Source organism: Homo sapiens, chromosome 5, assembly GCF_000001405.40.
Source record: "Homo sapiens chromosome 5, GRCh38.p14 Primary Assembly".
Classification (NCBI taxonomy): Eukaryota; Metazoa; Chordata; class Mammalia; order Primates; family Hominidae; genus Homo; species Homo sapiens.
Window position 1 is genome coordinate 173,225,319 of NC_000005.10, and position 19,177 is coordinate 173,244,495.

The 19,177-nt window shown below is 52.9% G+C and overlaps 1 protein-coding gene and 1 pseudogene across 4 annotated transcripts, besides 4 other annotated features; both read right to left on the reverse strand.

The window, feature by feature from the left end:
• Window positions 458-1,110, reverse strand: RPL7AP33 (ribosomal protein L7a pseudogene 33; annotated as a pseudogene).
• Window positions 3,868-4,534: an enhancer, noted in NCBI's record as "H3K4me1 hESC enhancer chr5:172656189-172656855 (GRCh37/hg19 assembly coordinates)". NCBI's record gives its function as "activates a minimal SCP1, AML or CMV promoter by ChIP-STARR-seq in naive H9 embryonic stem cells {active_cell/tissue: H9 hESC(naive)}" and the evidence as "EXISTENCE:reporter gene assay evidence [ECO:0000049][PMID:30033119]".
• On the reverse strand, window positions 6,791-9,888 carry NKX2-5 (NK2 homeobox 5). 4 transcript variants are annotated; one of them, NM_004387.4, is made up of 2 exons: window positions 9,432-9,888; window positions 6,791-7,891 (listed from the first exon to the last, which is right to left on the reverse strand). In NM_004387.4, exons 1-2 carry the CDS (start codon window positions 9,763-9,765, stop codon window positions 7,251-7,253), a joined length of 975 nt encoding a protein of 324 aa, NP_004378.1. In that variant the 5' UTR covers window positions 9,766-9,888; the 3' UTR covers window positions 6,791-7,250. The 4 variants fall into 4 exon arrangements, with proteins under 4 accessions (NP_004378.1, NP_001159648.1, NP_001159647.1 ...); NM_001166176.2 differs by having other exon boundaries at window positions 6,791-8,146; NM_001166175.2 differs by having other exon boundaries at window positions 6,791-8,183.
• Window positions 6,808-7,687: an enhancer, noted in NCBI's record as "H3K27ac-H3K4me1 hESC enhancer chr5:172659129-172660008 (GRCh37/hg19 assembly coordinates)". NCBI's record gives its function as "activates a minimal SCP1, AML or CMV promoter by ChIP-STARR-seq in primed H9 embryonic stem cells {active_cell/tissue: H9 hESC(primed)}" and the evidence as "EXISTENCE:reporter gene assay evidence [ECO:0000049][PMID:30033119]".
• Window positions 7,688-8,567: an enhancer, noted in NCBI's record as "H3K27ac-H3K4me1 hESC enhancer chr5:172660009-172660888 (GRCh37/hg19 assembly coordinates)". NCBI's record gives its function as "activates a minimal SCP1, AML or CMV promoter by ChIP-STARR-seq in naive and primed H9 embryonic stem cells {active_cell/tissue: H9 hESC(naive and primed)}" and the evidence as "EXISTENCE:reporter gene assay evidence [ECO:0000049][PMID:30033119]".
• Window positions 13,384-13,957: an enhancer, noted in NCBI's record as "H3K4me1 hESC enhancer chr5:172665705-172666278 (GRCh37/hg19 assembly coordinates)". NCBI's record gives its function as "activates a minimal SCP1, AML or CMV promoter by ChIP-STARR-seq in naive H9 embryonic stem cells {active_cell/tissue: H9 hESC(naive)}" and the evidence as "EXISTENCE:reporter gene assay evidence [ECO:0000049][PMID:30033119]".

Below are 19,177 nucleotides of genomic sequence, written 5' to 3' on the forward strand. Positions count from 1 at the left end.
CTTTTTGAAAGGCTTTTGAAGAGTTTACACTAGGTGGTTAGGAAATCTGGATCATGGAAAGATGTGAAAATAGGCACCAGAGAGAACAAATATGGTGATAATTAAGCATCAAATTTGCCTGGAGTTGGGGGAAGGGGAAGCTATTCTTTTTAATTTGTAGGAAGAGGCTACACATGACGGAGCACCTGTAGTCCCAGCTATTTGTGAGGCTGAGGTGGGAGGATTGCTTGAGTCTAGTAGTTGAAGCCCAACCTGGACAATAGAGCAAGACCCCATCCCTAAAACAATTTTTTGTAAGGAGAAAGCTAAGCTAACATTGTTAGCAATACATGTTTCCTATTGCTGAGATTGCATGGGAATTTATGAAGGGCCACAGAAGGACAATAATGAATAATGAATGGTTGCATTAATTGAAAATGCAGACTCCTTTCCATATATAGCCACTTATTTTATTTTTTGAAGGAAAATTTGTATTGTTTTAATTATTTTTATATACAGAAAACTTAACAGTGTACATTTAACCCAGTTTGGTGGCAAGTTCTTTAGCCTTTGCCTTTTCAAGCTTGGCGATGTGAACCACAGACTTGGGACCCAGGACACTGCCTCCCCAGTGACGGTGGATCTCATCATATTTGTCGTTGTAATTGGTCCTGATAGCTTCCACCAGCTTAGCCAAAGCTCTTTTGTCTTCTGAGTTAACCTGTGTGAAGGCGGCAGTGGTGCAGGTCTTCCTGTGGACTGACTACACGCCCCAGTCTTGCCTTCCCCTTGATAATGCAGTAAGGGACCCCCCTTTTATGACACAGTGCAGGCAGGGAGACAACCAGCTTGATGGGATCCACGTTGTGTGCAATCACCACCAGCTGAGCTTTCTTGTTCTCTACCAAAGTGGTGATGGTGTTAACTCCTGCTCAAAGGACAGATGGTCTCTTAGTGGGGCTGTCCCCTTTGCCAGCAGCTTTCTTCTTGGCCTGGGACAAAAGCCTCTGCTTCTTCACTTGCTTTGTCTCTGGTCTGTACTTATGAGCCAGTTTAAGCAGCTGAGTAGCTGTTTGGCGGTCCAGGGCCTGGGTAAACTGGTTAATTGCAGGAGGCACTTTCAGCCTATAGCCACTTATTTTAAAGATCTCACCTGAAAAGCTGAAGGCAGAGAAAACCAGTCAGGGGCAGGGGGTGAGGTGAGTGCTGTGAGGCTAATATGAGTCCATTTCAAGACGTCTGCTGAGCTGGAGTTCAAGATAGGTGAGGATAGTTTAGGGTATACTGGAAAGAAGGGCATTTGGTCATGGAACTTGGCTTGGCTACTTTCTAACTGCAGGAATAGGGAAAGTGACAAAAATTTTTTTTTTTTTGGAGGCAAAGTCTTACTCTGTTGCTCAGATTGGAGTGCAGCTGGAGTGCGGCAGAACACTCATAGCTCATTGCAGCCACGACCTCCTGGGCCCAAGCGATCCTCCTGCCTCAGCCTCCTGAGTAGCTGGGACCACAGGCGTGCACCACCATGCCCAGCTAATTTTTTGATTTTTTTTGTAGAGACAAGGTCTCCCTGTGTTGCCCAAGCTGGTCTTGAACTCCTGGGCTCAAGCAATCCTTCGCCTCAGCCCCCAAAAGTGCTGGAATTATACGCATGAGCCACTGTGCCTGGCCCGACAAAACCTTTTTTTTTTTTGAGACGGAGTGTTGCTCTGTCGCCCAGGCTGGAGTGCAGTGGCATGATCTTGGCTCACTGCAAGCTCCGCCTCCCGGGTTCACACCATTCTCCTGCCTCAGCCTCCTGAGTAGCTGGGACTACAGGCACCTGCCACTGCGCCCGCCACCACGCCCGGCTAATTTTTTGTATTTTTAGTAGAGATGGGGTTTCACCGTGTTAGCCAGGATGGTCTCGATCTCCTGATGTTGTGATCCACCTACCTCTGCCTCCTGAAATGCTGGGATTACCGGCGTAAGCCACCCCGCCCGGCCCTGACAAAACCCTTTTAAGGCTCACTTTCTTCATCTGTAAAATGGACTCCACAATGAACAGCAGATTTCAAAGCTTCAGTGAGCTCACGCAGAGAGCCTGGCATACTATAAGCCCCCACGGAGGCTGGTTTGCTCCTAGTCTGCTTCCTGCAGGACTCCGGTGTGGAGTTTAGGATCTGGGTAGAAGAAATGGACTGTCTCGGAATATTCCCCCCAAATTGCTCTTCTCTCCAAAGCAGCACTGGCAGGACCTGAGCTTCACAAGCCACAGGGATGGCTTTGGGGTCCAGACTGAGACGGGCATGTCCCAGAGTCCCTCTCCCAGCCTCCACCATTCCACTTTCCTGCCCGGGGTCCCCAGGGCTGCCTGGCTTGTGCCTCAGCCATTGGATCACAGCAAACACACAGAGACCCTGAGATAGAAGAGCAGGGCCTGGAGAGGGGAAATCTGACTCCAGTTTCTTGCAGGCCCTCAAGAACTGGAGCCCGTGCAGTCTGGGGCCTCTGCTGGTGGCGGTTGCGGTTCTCCAACCTGCCAAATGATGAGAATCATCTGGACACCAATGCAGTTTTGAAGGCCCTGTCCCTGGGGAGTCCAGTTCAAGGCAGCTGGGGCAGGCAGGGGTTTGGGTTTGTCCCGGCCTCCAGGCAGTTTGTCTCTTTGGGCAGGCTTGGGAGCTGCTGAGAGTGGGTTGAAGAGCTAGGGCTCTCTGGAACCATCTGGATCCCAGCACCAGCTTCCCCACTCCACACTACTGGAGTGGCCTTAGGTAGGTGATGTTTTTAACTTCTCCGGGTTTCAATTTCCTCCTTGGAAAATGACAGAATGAGATTTGCAGGGTAAGCATTTAGCCCTGGGCCTGGCACAAAGTAAGCACCAACAGATGTTAGGCAATAATCCATACTGTTATTCCACGCAGCTGTGGGCTGCAGCAGGGTGAGGAGCCCATGGTGATCTGAGGGTCTCGCCCTCGGGTCTCTTCACTGCTCACCACTGGGGTGAGCTCTCCTCTGAGTCGCAGCAAGAGGGCCGGGCTGCATCCCTGGAGTCCCAGCTGCCACCATCCCGTCTGAGATTCCTCTCAGACTCAAAGGGAATAATAAGTGTGCTTCTCTGGTAATTTGTTGTGCCTGGCACATAGAAATCATCCAGGAATTGTTAGCTAATATCATGTCTGTACTCTTTAATGGACAAACATTTCCTGGCGCCTACTCTTTGCCAGTCCTGAACTGGGATGGGACCACGCTACATACTGGGGCTCTGGAACCAGCCTGCCTGGGCTTGAAACCAAGCTCTGACACTGACCAGCTGTGTGACCCTGGGCAACGTACTCCTTCTTTCTGGGTTTAAAATGAATCCTTCATCTGTTTCCTCACGATAACCCAGAGGTATAAAAAGGGATTCAATGGGTTCACTTGTAAAGAGCTCAGAACAGTGCCTGGCACGCGATAAACTCTGTGAGTGATAAATTAAAGGCAGGCCACAGGCCCCTTTCTCCAGGAGCTCAGCCTGGTAGGGGAGTCGGCAAGGCTTAGAGGCCACAAGGCTGTTGCCTGCGGCGTAGAAGCGCTGGGCCTGAGCTCGGAATGCTTCCCGGAGGATGCGAGGGGCGGGCGCTGCGGGGAAGACGGTGCTACTCCCGCGCGGGACCGCGTGATGTTTCCGAGTCAGCGGTGAAACCTGCGGCTTCCGCGCGTCCTTTAAAAATACAGGTATTTAGATACACACCGTGGCGTCGACTTAAGGTGAAATCTAAACAAAATGAAAGGACGGGAGCTATTCTGATTTGGCCGAACCTGTGCCTGCGGGCTGGGAATGACCCAAGGAAACGAAGGGACGGCGGAGCCAGTGCGGCGGGGGCCGGGTGGGAGGCGGTGGCCTCGTGCTGGGGACCCCCAGCCCCGGCTCGCCTTTGCCGGGAACCACCAAGCTAATTTTTTTCCCTTTCTTTTTTAAATAAACCTACCTTCCTTCCCCCATTTTTTCCTTTTAATATCGCTGTTTATCTCCATTTTTTTTAACTGCGGCGTGTTCTTGTTCGATTTTAAAAAATACTAAAAATAAAATGAGTCCCCTAGGTGCCTCCCTGGCGCCCTAGGCATGGAGAGCTCATGCCTGCGCCACCCTCATCTCCGCTGGCTTTGCCACCTCGGAGGCGCCCCACACTTCTCCTTTGTTTTGCTTTTCTCTGAGCCGGTTGAGTTTTCTTACCCTGAATGCGTCGTTTATACAATTAGCAACTGAACACAGAACAAATATCACCGATATAATTGGGGTGGGGGTCGCCATGTAAACACGGGGTGTTGTTACTTTAGGATACTTCTGACCCTGTCCCGGCCTGAGTCCTCGCTCCCTGACTCAGCATCCACGCAGGAAAGCCTCGCCCCAGCCAGGCAAGGGCAGTCCCTGCCGGCTCCTTGAGTTCTGCCGTCTACAGCTTGCCCCATCATGAGCCTGGATGTGAGGCCTGAGATCCTCACCCCACTGGCAAGAGTCTGGGTTCTGCTCAGCGCGGCCTGGAGCCATTCTGTCTGCATCTTTACTGGAGAGACATCCACAGTGTGGCGGGCTCTGGCTTCAGGAACACTCTCCCCAGTATGTGTCCTGTGTGTTTCCCAGCTCCCGTTCCCGCTTAGAGACTGGATGATCTTGACCACCCACGTAACCTCCTCAGTTTCCCGGTCTGCAAATGAAGATGGGTTCGGTGAGAGAACTCCTGTATACACTTAGCTGGGGTTGCTGGCATTTGGTGAGCCCTGGCAGATGCCAGCCAGCCGTTGTTAGCCTTTGTGAGCGCCTTGGGAAAGCTGCAGGAGATCCTGGGTCACTCAGCTGGTCCCCCAAGGGAGAGTATGACACATAAAGAGGGAAGTATCATGGAGAAATCCTCGTGGTATAACGTTAAGTGAAATAAATATTGTTTCTAATGCTACTGCAGACACCTGTAAGGTGAAAAAGGCCCACAGGAGTGCGGGACGGAGGCCACAGCGATCTGGTTAAGAGCAAATACGGGTCATTTCGGATAGAAGAATTTCCCAGTTGTGTGAGTTAGGCCTGCTGGGGCTGTGGGCTGGGGCTGCCTAGCAGGAGAGCACCGTCCTGCTTAGGAGCTGGTCTGGCAACCTGGAGGAGCCTCAGTGTGTCCCTCCGTAAGACTGAGACAGGAACATGTTAAAGACTCGCAGCAGGGTCACAGGCCCAGGAGGTGGAATGCCAGGGCTGAGCTGATCATCCGGCTCCCACTCCTGATGGCTCTCTCTAGCTGCCAGCTGGCCCAGACCTTCAGGTCCCTTCTTCTACTCAGCCAAGCCTTGAGCACAGCCCTTTCCTCTTCCTTCCCACAGCACAGCCCAGAACCCTGTGATGGTAGACTGCCTGCACTCCACTGCCCTTGTATCCTACTGTGTCCAGTGGTAACACTGGGTATAGACAGTGGTTGTACTTAGAACCTCCTGGCATCCTCCCCTCTTCCACGGGCGTGTGGCACTTACCCAGAGAGACACCACAGGCGCTGGCGGGGCTGCATGGTTCCTGGTGAGGCAGTAGGACAGCTCCTGGTTGTGCCAGGCCAGCCTGGCGACCCTTACTGGGAGTCAGGGGAACATTGAGAAGCACTCGGTTCCTGGCTGCCACAAGCAATGCTTTGGCTGTGTCAGGGAGCTCTCAGCCGGATGCCCCAATGCCCCAGGCCTCCAACTCAGTGCTTCCTGGGCAAAATATCAGAAAAACCCATATCCAGTGAGAAAACAAATCCTCAACTCCCTCTGGCTTTGGTCCCTTTTAAAGACGTATCTTAAAAAGATCCTGGGTCAGTTCCTCAGGCTCTGGGGCTGGTGATAGAGGAGCTGGAGGTCCGGTCCCAGCACCTGCTGACTGGCGATCCTGGATGCGAGCAAGGTGTGTTTGTTATCCTCATTTTACAGACAAACAAGAGCAACCACCGCCGCCGCCGCCACCACCACCACCGCCACCACCACCACCGAGGCATGCAGTGGGCAAGTCCCATAACAAGCAGGGTTTAAACTTGATTTCGCTGAGCCTCAGTTTTCTCATCTATAAAATCAGGACACTAGTAACATTTGTTGGTCAGAACTATGGTGAAATTAAATGCCCTAAGGAAAGGACATCAGTAAGGTTAGGGCTTAGGGGCTCCCTTGACCATGTGAATTTATGGGGCCTCACCACAGCTGGAGGTGAGCACCATCCGCAGGACACCTCTCTGGGGTCCAGCCTCGGCACTCAGTCCCACGGGCAGCTGATGAGGCCCCGACGTGGCATCTGGGGGCATCTGAGGAGCCTGAGAACGCTTGCCAAGGGCTTGGGTTCTTGGCTTTTCCATCTGGAAACAGGCTAAGGAGTTCTTTTAAGTGGGATGATCACGGTGCTCTCCAGCTACAGAGGGCCCAGGTTCTTTTGCTGTCCATTTAATGCCCAGTGCCTGGAACCGTGCCTGGCACACATTAGGATTCAAGGAGGGGAGCTTGGGAGCACAGGGAAGGCGGTCTCTGAAGTGAGGCATCCTGAATTTAACCAGAGTTCGACTAGTACTGGCTATTTGCTCGCAGGTAAGTCATTAAACCTCTCCGGGCCTCAGCTTCTAAACTTTAGGATTTTTTTTTTTTTGGATTATTGAGGATTATATGAGACAATCTCAGAAAGTGCCCGACACGGAACCAGTATGGTTCCAGCAAGGGTTAGGTTTTATTAGTATCAATGTTATCAATTTGCTCAGGGAATGCCTGTGCCTGAGATCTGAGACCAGTCCCGGGCGGCCACCTCTCTCCTGCTTCTGAAGCGCCGCAAGCTGAAAGAAGCACACGTGCGGGGTCAACGCACTCTCTTTAATGGGAAGGGGATCGTCATTTCTTACAGCAATAGGTAAAAACATAAATACGGGTGGGTGCGTGGGCGGGCGACGGCGAGATAGCAAAGGCCCGGGCGCCCGGCCCTGGCTCGCGGAATGGGCGGCCAGATCTCAGGCCCTGCGTGCCCGAGCTCAGTCCCAGTTCCAACCGGGGGTGCCCATGGACTCTCGGAGGGCACTCCTGGGGGGACAGCTAAGACACCAGGCTGCAGGATCACTCATTGCACGCTGCATAATCGCCGCCACAAACTCTCCCGTGCGCAAGAACAAACGCGCGTGGGACAGAAAAAGTTCCTAGGTCTCCGCAGGAGTGAATGCAAAATCCAGGGGACTCAGGGTCATGTTGGGAGCCCCTTCTCCCCCCGAGAGTCAGGGAGCTGTTGAGGTGGGATCGGTCAGGGTCGCGCCACGCGGGTCCCTTCCCTACCAGGCTCGGATACCATGCAGCGTGGACACTCCCGAGTTGCTCTGCGGAATCCCGGGGCTCTGAACCGCATTCAAGTCCCCGACGCCGAAGTTCACGAAGTTGTTGTTGGCGGCGGCAGTGGCCGGCTGCGCTGGGGAAGGCCCGGCGGGGTAAGCGGCAGTGCAGCTGTAGCCAGGGCTGCAGGCCGCGCCGCCGTAACCCGGATAGGCGGGGTAGGCGTTATAACCGTAGGGATTGAGGCCCACGCCGTAGGCAGGCGCGTAGGGCGCCGAGTCCCCTAGGCATGGCTTGCCATCGCGCACCAGCACTGGCACCGCGATCCTGCGGGCAGGCGGCGGCGGCGGCGGGGGCAGCCCCACCAGCTCCAGAGTCTGGTCCTGCCGCTGCCGCTTGCACTTGTAGCGCCGGTTCTGGAACCAGATCTTGACCTGCGTGGACGTGAGTTTCAGCACGCTGGCCAGCTGGTCGCGTTCGGGGGCCGACAGGTACCGCTGCTGCTTGAAGCGCCGCTCCAGCTCATAGACCTGCGCCTGCGAGAAGAGCACGCGCGGCTTCCTCCGCCGTCGCGCCCGGGGCCGCTCCGCGTTGTCCGCCTCTGTCTTCTCCAGCTCCACCGCCTTCTGCAGCGCGCACAGCTCTGAGGGGGAACAGAGAGGCAGAGAGACGCTTGGTAAGAGCGGCTTGACCTACGGAGCGCGGCCGCACAGTAATGGTAAGGGATCCTCGTGGAGGCCACTGTGTCCTGCCTGGAGCGCCCAGCTGGCTGCGGCTCACTCTGCCAAGTGCACTGGGAGCCACCGACACGTCTCACTCAGCATTTGTAGAAAGTCAGGCTGGCTCAAGGCGCTGGAGAACAAAACGGGAGGTCTCTGCCCTCGGGGCAGTTCACACCCTGGTGAGGGAGACAGACGGTGACTTAAAATTTCAGGCTGCAAAAAAAAAAAAAATAAATAAAAAAATAAAAAAATAAAAATAAAACCAGGTGATGCTCTGGGGTGAACTGAATTAGGGCTAGTTTGGTTTGAGAAGTTAAATGAACAGAGGCCGAGGCCTCACTGCTAGGGACGGTCTTATCTCAAAATTAAGGAATCAAGAAACAGAAGGCCAGGGAGTGTTGGTTTGGTGATCGGAGGCTCCAGCCTGGCCGCAGCAGGGTTTGCGCAGTGTCCAAGAAGCTGCGGGTGGGCAGGCGGCCTCGGAACCTGCCTTGCTGGCTTCCTCGAATTGGTAGCGATCAGTTCTAGCCGCCGTGCCCGCCCGAATTTGTTCCCAGGCCTCTGCTCCTCAACAAACCTATGAATTCTCTCCCGGCTGGCAGCGGCCCTTCGCCCAGCGCTTCGCCCAGCGCCTGCGGCCTCCCGGGAATCGCCCGGGCTCCTGCCTTGGGCTGGGGGGTCTCCCAGAAGGCCCCTTTCTGCAGCGGGGCCGGCCTCCCTCCCCGATCCTGGGATGGCCTGCGGGATGATCCCGCACTCATCTCGTCCACTCCCTTGTGCCCGCGGTAGCGCAGCATTTCCTAACTTTTCCACGAGGGAACCTCTCCGCCCTGGCCGCGCCGGCAAGTTGTGCTGAAAAAATAAAGTGAAGTCAGATTCCTGAGGGTCCGCAGTATCCCATTTTAAAATCAAGGCCCTCGATCCCAGACTCCACTTTCCTGGCGCAAAGAAAGAAAGGCACCAGAAACCCGGGTCGTGGGTGGGCTGCAGAAAGAAGGTCCAGGACCCTCCTCCGATTGTACGCAAAAGCTGTCTGGTGAGCAACATTTCAATTTCTGTTTAGCGGTTCTCATCAGATCTTTAAAAAGATTCGTAAATCCAAAGGAGATTTAAAAACAGAGATTATCTGCTTGTCTCTCTGTTCTGTCTACCATAAACCGATTTCTCAACTTCCTACCAGACCCAGGAGCAGAGCCGAAGCCGCCCGGGGCTTTGTTAGGCCGGGGGGAAACGTTTTTTGGTCTCTTGCTTCTGATCCTTTCAATCCGGCATTTCCTCTGAACCTCCGATTGGACGCGGGGCGCGGGAGCCTGGCGACAACACCAGGCATCTTACATTCTGAACCCCCCGCCGCAGCCCAGCCCTCGGCCCAAGGGCGCGTGTCTCCTCCTCCTGGCCCTGAGTTTCTTGGGGACGAAAGCGACCCAGGAGGGGAGAAGGGGGCCTGTGTTTCCTCCTCACCTTTCTTTTCGGCTCTAGGGTCCTTGGCTGGGTCGGGGTCGCTGTAGGCACGTGGATAGAAGGCGGGGGCGGCGGGAAAGGCAGACGCACACTTGGCCGGTGAAGGCGCGCGGCCCAGCTCTGCGCGCAGCTCTGGGAGGCCCGGCGCAGCCGCCTCGGGCCCAGCGTAGGCCTCTGGCTTGAAGGCGGCCAGCATGCAGGAGGAGGGCGCCAGGGTCGCCTCCAGGCGGGCAGAGAGCTCTCCGGCGGCAGCCAGGCTGCGCTGCTGCTGTTCCAGGTTTAGGATGTCTTTGACTGAGAAGGGCGTGGGCGTGAGAGCAGGGCTGGGGAACATGGTGGCAGCGCCAGTCTCACAGCGCCAGGTGGGCGGCAGAAAGCGGCGCTGCCCACGGCCCCTGGCAGCTTCCCTGCATGGTGCCGCCGCCCGCCCGCGCACCCGTCGGCCAGCTCTGGATGTGTCCGGGCAGCAGGTAGCGCTGAGCACAAGGGGCAGGAGAGGCGGGACCAGGCCAGAGGAGGGGGACTCAGCCTGCCATTGGGCCAGGGGCCTCGATGACAGGAGCGATGAGCAGTTTCGTGTCACCTAATATAGTCATACGGCAAAAAAAAAAAAAAAAAAAAAAAAAAAAAAAAAAAAAAAAAGCCCTGCCCAGCTTTTTTAAAGGGGCCACGACGCATTTGGAAGGGTCTCCTTTTGCTCCTGCAGCCTGCGTTTGCTCCCTAATGTGAGCCTGAAAAGCCTACCAGAGGCATGCAGAGTCAGGCCTCTGGGCAGGGCTGGATGGGTGTGGGTTTGAAGAAATATTCCTCAGCACCCAAACCAGCATGGGAGAGAGAAGGATGGGGTGGGAAGCGGTGGGGAGGAGAGTGATTTGAGGAAGGCTTTATTACTGAAGGTGGTGGGATGAGGGAGAGTCTGAATAGGAAGAGAAGCCTGGAGGACAGGGCTGGCTTTGGGGATAGCAGCAGGGCGAGATTCTGGACAATTCGGGGGTTTGGTTTGGCTTGGCCTACAGGGTCAGTCATGCCGCAGGCTCTGGGTGCTTCTGGGCGAGTCAACGAAAGTAAGGGCAAGGTGAGTGATGGCCAGGTGGGGTAGGAGTTGCTGCCTCCTACAGTAGTGTTATGCACAGCACAACTCCAGGGGGCATCAGTCACTGCCAGTACCCTCCCAGGGAAATGCCTCTCCCCTTAATAATGAAATAAATCAGGAATCCCAGCTGGTAAGCTCAGCTTCCCAGGAGACACCTGTCTTGTGGAGTGCCCCAGCTACCAGCCACCTTGTTTCCCCTGTTTGGAGGCCATCGATCCCACCTCCCTCCTTCCCGTGCCCTCCCTGCCTGGCAGCAAGGCCCTCAGGCTTCTGCCAACCTCGAGGTTTCAGGGTCCTAGCCCAGGTTTAGCTCTCAGGGAGGCGGGGCTCCTCTGAGCCCAGCTAGGCCAGGATTTCTCTGAGGCCTCTGGGCCGGACTTCCAGTGGGGCACCCCTGCGGCTCGGTCAGGCGCGTGGGGGAAGGGCAGGGCAAGTGGGGTGATCATGATCATTTTTAGCCCAGGGTCAGTAGAGTAGGGCACAGAAGTCAGACAAATCTGCCAGAGTTTCAGGAGCGCCAGCTACATGGCCAGATCCTGCCCGGGTGGCCTCATTTCTCTGGGTCCCCGCACTCCTTGGGAGGTCTGATGAAAGCTTGGGGTCTTCTCCATTCCCCAGAACACTGCAGAGAGGAGTTTTATTTTGCTTACAATTCAGGAGTCCGGGCAGGCAGAGCGGGCCCAGGTTAAGGACGCCTTCTAGAGCTGGGGATGACAGGATTTGTCAGTGGAAAAGCGTTGGCTTCTCACGGCCCTAGCTGGTACAGGGAACCGCGGGCGGGAAGCTGGGCGGGACGCGTGGACTTGCTGAGAATGGGGATGTGGAGGGCTTGGCTCTTTGCGGAGTGCGGGTTGGCAAGAGGCGCTTGGAGTAGAATAAAGGCGGCGCAGGGCCAAAAACTACCTAAAGACACAGCTCCCGCAGGCGCGCCCAAGGTGCGGAGGAAACGCTCCATGTATGGGGACAAAATAGTGTCTGTCCAGAACGTACATCTTGGGTGCTCAAACCCGACAGTGTGCCGTCTGAGACGCCGACGCAAGTGAAGTCAAGCATTGGCCTGATGTTGGGACTTTTCCTGTCCCTCATCAAAGCCACACTCCCAGGACCTGGGGCCTCCATGCTGGGGAGAGAGGTGAGCCCCGCAGGGCAGCCCAGGAGGCGCGCAACGCCCTGACCCCGGCTTCTAGGCGCCAGCCGTCAGTAACAGGCCTGGGCTGCCACGCCGAAATCACGCCTCGAGTTTCTGAGCCAGGGACTACTGGGGGTCTGGAATTGTTAGTCTAGTCTGTGGAGGATGCCTTTTCTTAAATGTGGGGCGTTCAAGGCCCAGGAAACCTCGTCCCCCCACCTCTTCACCTCCCAACCCAAATTCTCCTTGGACGGAGCTGCATGTCAGCGGCCTTGCGGCCCTTCCTCGCCTGGACTTTTGGCCACGTTACCGTTATGGCTGTAAATTAACCTAGCTTGGGGGCCCGCCTTGCCTTTGAAGATTGTTTTCGAGCGCGGGCGGGGGGGGGTGTCGTTGGAGAGGATGCCTATCGCCGAGGCGGTGACGTCTGGCAAACGAGCCACATCCGATTCAATTAAATGTCTCGCTGAAAAGAGCTCGGAACGAGGGTCCTGGGAGCGCTGTTAAGTGAATCTGCTGGCCAGGCGGCTCGCGATGACAGTTTGAAAGATTAGTGTGAGCGGACGCCTGAAATATTACCGTTTAATGGGGGACATCGAGGCTACATCCGGGATCCCTGTTTTTAGTAAGGTTTTTTTTTTTTTTTTTTTGAGAGCTCTGGAGAAAGAAAAAAATTAGCATTGCCCTTGCAAATCAAGGTGGCAAGGATTTATTTCCTATTTTCGGGTAAGGGGGCTTCCTAGAACTGTCAGTCCTGTGGGTCAGGTGTTACAAAAAGGGAAGGAAAAAAAACTCTCCCTATTTGAACAAGATCAGTGACTGTTACACTCTCTATGCTCTTTGTGAATCGGGTAATGATTTCTCTTGGCTTCCAAAAAGGTCTTGGTGTTGCAGGAGAGAGGAGATGGGGCAAAAACGGACAAATACGTGCAAAATAGAAATTGGGGCGACCCATGCTGGTCTCCTTAGAGGAAAGTCCGAGAGCCATTTGCAGCTTTTCTTTCCAGTCCTCACTGTTTCCGAGTGAGTTAAAAAAAAATCCCTCTAAATAGATCTAAATAGAAATTGCAATAGTTGGGGGTTGGGTGGGAGGAAACTTGATTCTCTGGCCCCCAACAGGGACACATCTTTTTTTCCCAAGGGCCGCTGACCCAACCTGGCCGCCTCTCTGCGCCGCACTTTGACCAAACTAGCAGGACAAACAAACAGCCTTCAGCCTAGAGAAAGGCAGAGAGAGACAAAAGGAGAGAGAAGAGATCGAAAATCTATCTGTGTATTTCCTTGACTTTTAAAGAGTTGGTGCTTTAAGATAATCCAAATTCCAGGGTGGCTCGAGCGCATTCTCCGTGAATAAATTATTATTAATTGAAAAGCGATCGGCGCAGCCGGAGCCGGCCCCCCTTTCGTGCAATCAGCAGGGCTGGTCGCAAAAGGTATATATGATTAATTGAAAGATAAGCTGGAACTATCACCGGGAATGTCATTAATGCGCTGGGGAGACGTCCATTGGAGACAGGCGGCGTTATCCGCGGCTTTATCTTCAACAACGCCTCGCTCTCGGCCCGCGCGGGGGAAACAGATGGGAGTTTCTGTCTGGGACGCTCGCCCCATGTTTATATTTTGGGAAGAATCGCAACTCGTGGGAGTCCCCGGCTGGCCCCCTGATAAATGAACATTAGCACTTTTTCGGACTACTGTATCAACAAAGGGGCTGCGGCGCTGCAATAATTGGCGAGAAAGCAAACAGAGGGCCGAGAGCGCGACTCTGCTCTTCGTCCGGCTGATGGATGAGCAGCTCCGGCTGCGCGCCGGACTCCCGGCCTCGGCCTCCGCCTCCGCCTCCGCCTCCGCCTCCGCGCTGGGCCCCTCCGCCGCCCGGCTTCCTTCCTGGCCGGGAGTTGGGGGCGGGGGGCGACTCTGAGGGCCGCCGACCTCGCCCTTGGCTCCGGAAGAGTCCAGGCGGCCTCCGCGGCACCGGATTTTTCCTGCCTCGGGACTCGCCTCATTCAGGTGGCTCAGCTGGCACCAAATCCTTCTCATTTCCACGCTTGTTCAGTGCCCACGGGGTGTGCCAGGCGCTCTCACGGATCTCGTCACGGATCCTCTTATTCCGACTGCAGGCCTGAGGAGAATGAGGTTCAGAGACGTGGAGTAAGTTGCTCAGGGTCACACAGATGGGAAAGGACAGTGTCAGGGTGTTAGGATTCGAACACACAGCTGACTGCACAGCTGAGACTGTTTTCTTTTATTACACGTCGCTGCGCCCAAGACCGTACCAACTGGAGGAAGAGCAAGACCCCCACCATCACCCCCCACCCCGCAGCCAGGGGAGAGGACCAGGCTGTTGGATTTGAGATGCCAGGTCTCCCCAACCTTCATAGACAAGGGAGATTTCCTGCATAAAGTTCATTTGAGAAAGAGAGGGGGAGAGAGGAATTTAACATGCGTTCATTTCACTTCCGCCTTCCCCTCCCCTCGCTCTCCCACTTTTCCTTTCCCTTCTCCCTTCCCTCTCCTATTTTGATAACAGCTTTATCGAGATATAATTCGCATACCATACAATCCACCCATTTAAAGTATACAGTTCAGTGATTTTTAGTATGTCCACAGAGTTGTGAAACCAACACCACAATTTTAGAACATTTTTATCACCCCAAAAACAAACTTGTGGTCTTTAGCCATCAACTCCAATCCCCTCTCCTACCTTCCCAGCCCTAGGCAACTGCTAATCTATTTTCTGCCCCTATAGATTTGCCTGTTCTGGACATTTCATACAAATGGAATCATACAATATGTGGCTGTTTGTGTCTCGCAGCGTTCACTTAACATAATGTTTTCAAAGTTCGTCCATGCTGTAGCACGTATCAGCATCTTGTTCCTTTTAATGGCTGAACAATATTCCATTGTATGTCTATGCCACACTTCGTCCATTCATCACTTGGTAAACATTTGGGTTATTTCCACATTTTGTCTATTATGAATACCCCTCCAGCCCACTTCTACCTTACAGTCTGAAGCTTTAGAGTCCTTGAAAGGGCCCTTCCCCCTCCTCCATAATTAACCCTATCCTTCATGGGCATGGCATCTGTGCAGTCTCACAGGGCCTGAGCTTGGTTTAATGTTCCGCTGTTGCTGTCTTAAAACTCTTCATAAGTTTTTAAGCAGAGTCTCCACATTTCTATTTTGCGCTGAGCCCACAAACTATGTAGTCAATCCTGCTTTCTGGGCTGTCTGAGCAGAGCACTGGAAATACTAACTCTCTATTGCCTAGCTGGGTTTTGGCTTCCTTCCCTCACCCCCCACCCCTCCCCAGCCCCCTGCTAGCCAGCTAGGACAGACAGAAAGTCTCCAAGCTGCTTTAAGAGCTGTCCATGGAAACTTGCTCAGCCATAGGAAGGGCCTAGAGCCCACAGAAGGAAAGAGCAGATCCACATGGCTAGTGGATACTGTGCGTATGTGTGTGTGTGTGTGTGTGTGTGTGGCTGTGAGGGGAGAGGCTAAAAGAGTGGACCGTAGCTTTCACCCAGCTGCCAAGTGACTCCACAGCTTGGTCACTGTTGGATTCTTGGCCTGATTTTCTCCATCCCTTCACCTACATTGAGTGGGTGCCCACTATGTACCAGGTGCTGGGGTTGCACAGCCCAAGATGCACAGACCCTGAAAAAGGCAGGCGTGTGTCAGAAAGAGCGCTGGCCTCTGAGCCCGCGGTGGGTGTGGTCCTGCCTTTTCAGCAGTTGGCTCATCTTGAGCATGTCTCTTTTCCTGTCTGGTCCCCAGTTTTGTGTCTGTCTCCTTGGTGGTATGAGGTGTACACAGCGTTCCTTTCCAGCGACACTATCCTGGGAGACATCCCAGGTTGTTACCTGAACTCACCTGGACAGTGGGCAGAGGTAGACAGGCACGTGGGTAGTTGTCTAACCAACAAAGTAAAACTGGTTAAGATGAGAAGTCCCCGCCAATTGCAATATTATGCTATTTGGGGTGGGGGGAGGGATGGTCTATATGACAATATGCTTTCAAAATAAAATGATGTTAACGTAAGGAAAATGTGATGGATTTTTCTTATACCAAATACATTCAATTTCAGATAGATCAAACATTTGGACGTTAAAAATGAAACACAAAAGTGCTACAGATAATTAAAATAATAATTTTGGAGTGCTTTTATATTTGAGAGGGGGATTAAGAGAACAAAAGACCTAGAAACTATAAAAGATGAATTATATAAACCTGATTGCATAAAAATAAATCTGTGCACAGCAAAAATACCATTAATAGAATCCAACAGAAAACTGTACTCAGGAAAAATGCTAGAAATACATGACAAAGTACTGATTTCCACAATTTGGAAAGAATACCTGTAAATCAATAAGAAAATGATCCAGCAAAAATATTTGAAAAATGACCAAGAGTATCAGAGCCTTGCTGGAAAAAATAAAAAGAAATAAAGAAATGCAAATTGAAACACAGAGAGGCAAATGTTTTTACTTATCAGACTGACGAAGATCAAAAAGTGTAATAGTTGCCTCGTCATGCTTCTACATTGTAAACTGGTAAACCTCTTTGGAGCAATGTGGTACTGCCAAAATTAAAAATGAATAAGCTCTTTGAACAAATATTTTCATTTCTAGGATTCCATTCTATAGGTATATACATATATGCAAAGAAAAGTATTTTCATCACCGTTTTTAATTTTTTTAAGAATCAAAACATGTTAAAAAAACCAGTGTATATATACCTGAGGACTGGTTAAAAAATTATGTTGTACCAATAGAACAGAATACCATATGCCATGAGAAAGAATTAGTTCCATTCATATGTATTCTTATGGATATGTTTTGAGATACTTTAAATAGCAAACCAGGTGCAGAATTTGTATTTTAAATATGGGCATATGTACACATATGGTTCACATGTGGGGTTTTTTGGTGATGAAAACTTCAGGGGAAGAATAATTGGGGGGCAAGTCAAGAATAAACATGACAGTTTCCGTAATACACTTTTTGGAACAGGTTCCTTGTTACTTTTGGGGCTGTAGAAATATCTAGGCCAGAATCCTCTGAGGTACATATTAAAAATGCAGATTTCTGGGGCCCATCCTAATCTTGGAGTTTAAGAATCAAAGGTGTGTGTATGGTTTGAGACAGGCAGCCGAAGCAGCGGTGCAGTGAACTCTCTGTGAAGGGGTGGCAGCGGAGCCCGTGGTGTAGGAAGACTGTGCAGGGTGGTCAGCGGAGCCCTAGAGAGAGGGGAGGAAGGGTGGCCTTTGTCTAGTAGTACCTGGGAACAGGACCCTGGTGGCACTGGCTGCCCTCAAGATCTCTCCTGACTTGTGGTTTGGTCTTGGGGTCTTGGACAGTATGAGTCAAGGGAGGGGGCAGGTATAGACAAACTAGAGGGCAGGCCCAAGTCTTGTGGTCACTGAGGATGCAGAGCCTGGTCCCTGTGAGAAGGTGGCAAAGTGGGAAGATGGAACTGGCTTGTGGCCTTGGTAGCCCCACCCGGGCGCTCCCCGCAGGCCAGCAGAGGAGTTTAGCAGTTCCTAGATTTCCTGACCCCTGGCCTTCAGCCCACTGTCCTTCCCTCTCCTGAGAGTCAGCCTCTAAAAATCTCTCTGAAATAGCCCTGCATCTGAACCAGATCTGGAATCTGACCTAACAAGGTTGAAGTGACTTTCCTGTCTGGGGCCGGGGTAGGGGTGTAAATGGAAATATTTCATACCTAGTTTCTCCAAACACGGTGGGGACTCTTGTAGCCACTGATCCTGGCAGCTCCCTGAAGTGTGGGGTCTGCCCAACGGTGGCACAGCCTGGAGCCTCTCAGGCCAGCAGGGACTCCAGCTGCAGGGGGCACCACTCTCATCCGCCGGTGAGATCTGAGGTTCCTGTCCGGGCCTGGCCTTCCCCCACAGCGCAGCCGGCCACCACATCTTTGCTGCAAGCGGGACTGTGTGCTGCTTACCGGCTGGGACTCAACATCCAGGGAGCATTTGGTCCTCCCACGCCTGTGGCCTTCAGTAGCCAGTCCCAAGGAGATGACAGCCACACACACCACACGTAACCACTGGATAAGTTTTGGGTCCTCATTTCTCGTTGATGTTAAACACATGAGCAAAAAAACCAAAAAAACAAAGCGGAACGACATTCATTTCCAAAATATTTTATGAGCTTGGACAGCGAGTGCTTATTCTTATCCCTCTAACAGGATGCACCAGTGTCTCTTGTTCCCGCTTTTGTTGGTTTCCTTAACAATGGTTTTACATTTACATCAGTCACTCTGCTAATGATATATTTTTGAATAAATAATACATCATAAGAACAAAACCAAACCAAAACGAACATGCCTAAGAGGGAGATCAATGTAAAGTGTCCCAAGCCTCTCCCCCAGCCACCCAGGCAAAGCTGTTACCTGGCTTATTTAGGTTTAAAATCCACTTTATTGAGGTCTAATGTACCTAGAACAAAAGTGTACAGTTCGATGAGTCTTGACACTTGGATGTGCACCCCCATAACAGCCACCATAATCAAGATACAAAAACATTTACGTCACCTCAAAAATGCTTCCTTCTCCCCTTCTCAGCTAATCCCCACTCCCTCCCAAGCTGCCACTGGTTTTAAAAATATATCCTCTTAGAGACTTTTTTTTTGCAAATTTAAAACATATTATAGGATGTATATATATACACATATTTTCTGAGAGCAATTACGTTTCACAAACTCCTTTGCATTTTGTCCTTGTCAGTTTTGTTTTGTTGTAAGTCAGTTTTCTTAGGCTCTGGGGAGTATGTTTCCCAACCCGAATTTGTCCTGGATTAGTGGATATGATCCGCTTTCAAACTAGTGTTAGGGTTTGCCTCGGATTCCGAGGATCCGAGGGAGTCGCTTTCAGACTTCCGGTGTCCTTTCGCGTTAATTTCGTCCTCTTTTCTTCTCTGGGCTGGGGCTGGTGGCTGCCACATCCCACCCCTTCTGCCCCGACGGCTGCAAACCGCTTCAGCCAAAACGGGCGGAGAGGCGGAGAGAATCGAGACGCTGGAATCAGTTCCTCGGAGTCCCGTCGCTGGAGGTCACAGCTGGGAAAATCAGGTGACATTCGAGTCAGATGGACAACGACTCAGATACAGTGAAGAGGAAAATGGTTGTCCTGGGGCTGGTTCGCGCCTGCCCGGCGGGTGTGAAGCCCGGGGAACCGCGACTTTGGAAGAACCTTCGGCTTGGCGGTTCAGGTTTGGGAAAAGAGAGCTGGCGAACTGCCGCCTGTTTTTGTGCCCGCGCGGGGGACCAGCCGGGCCGACGGCAGCGCTGCGGGTGGGTTGGGTCGTCGGCCGCCGCTCCCCGGAGAGGTGAAGAGTCGCACCTACCACCGGGCAGCCTCCGCGGCTCTGGCCGAAACCCCGGCTGGCCGCAGCTCCGGGAGCCCCCAGCCCTGTGCTGCTGCGGCCGGCTCAGTGCTGAATTGATGCTGGAAACGGCTGGCCAGCGGGCCTAGGGTCGCCGCCTTTCCCTCCTCGCCTCTTCCTTCCTT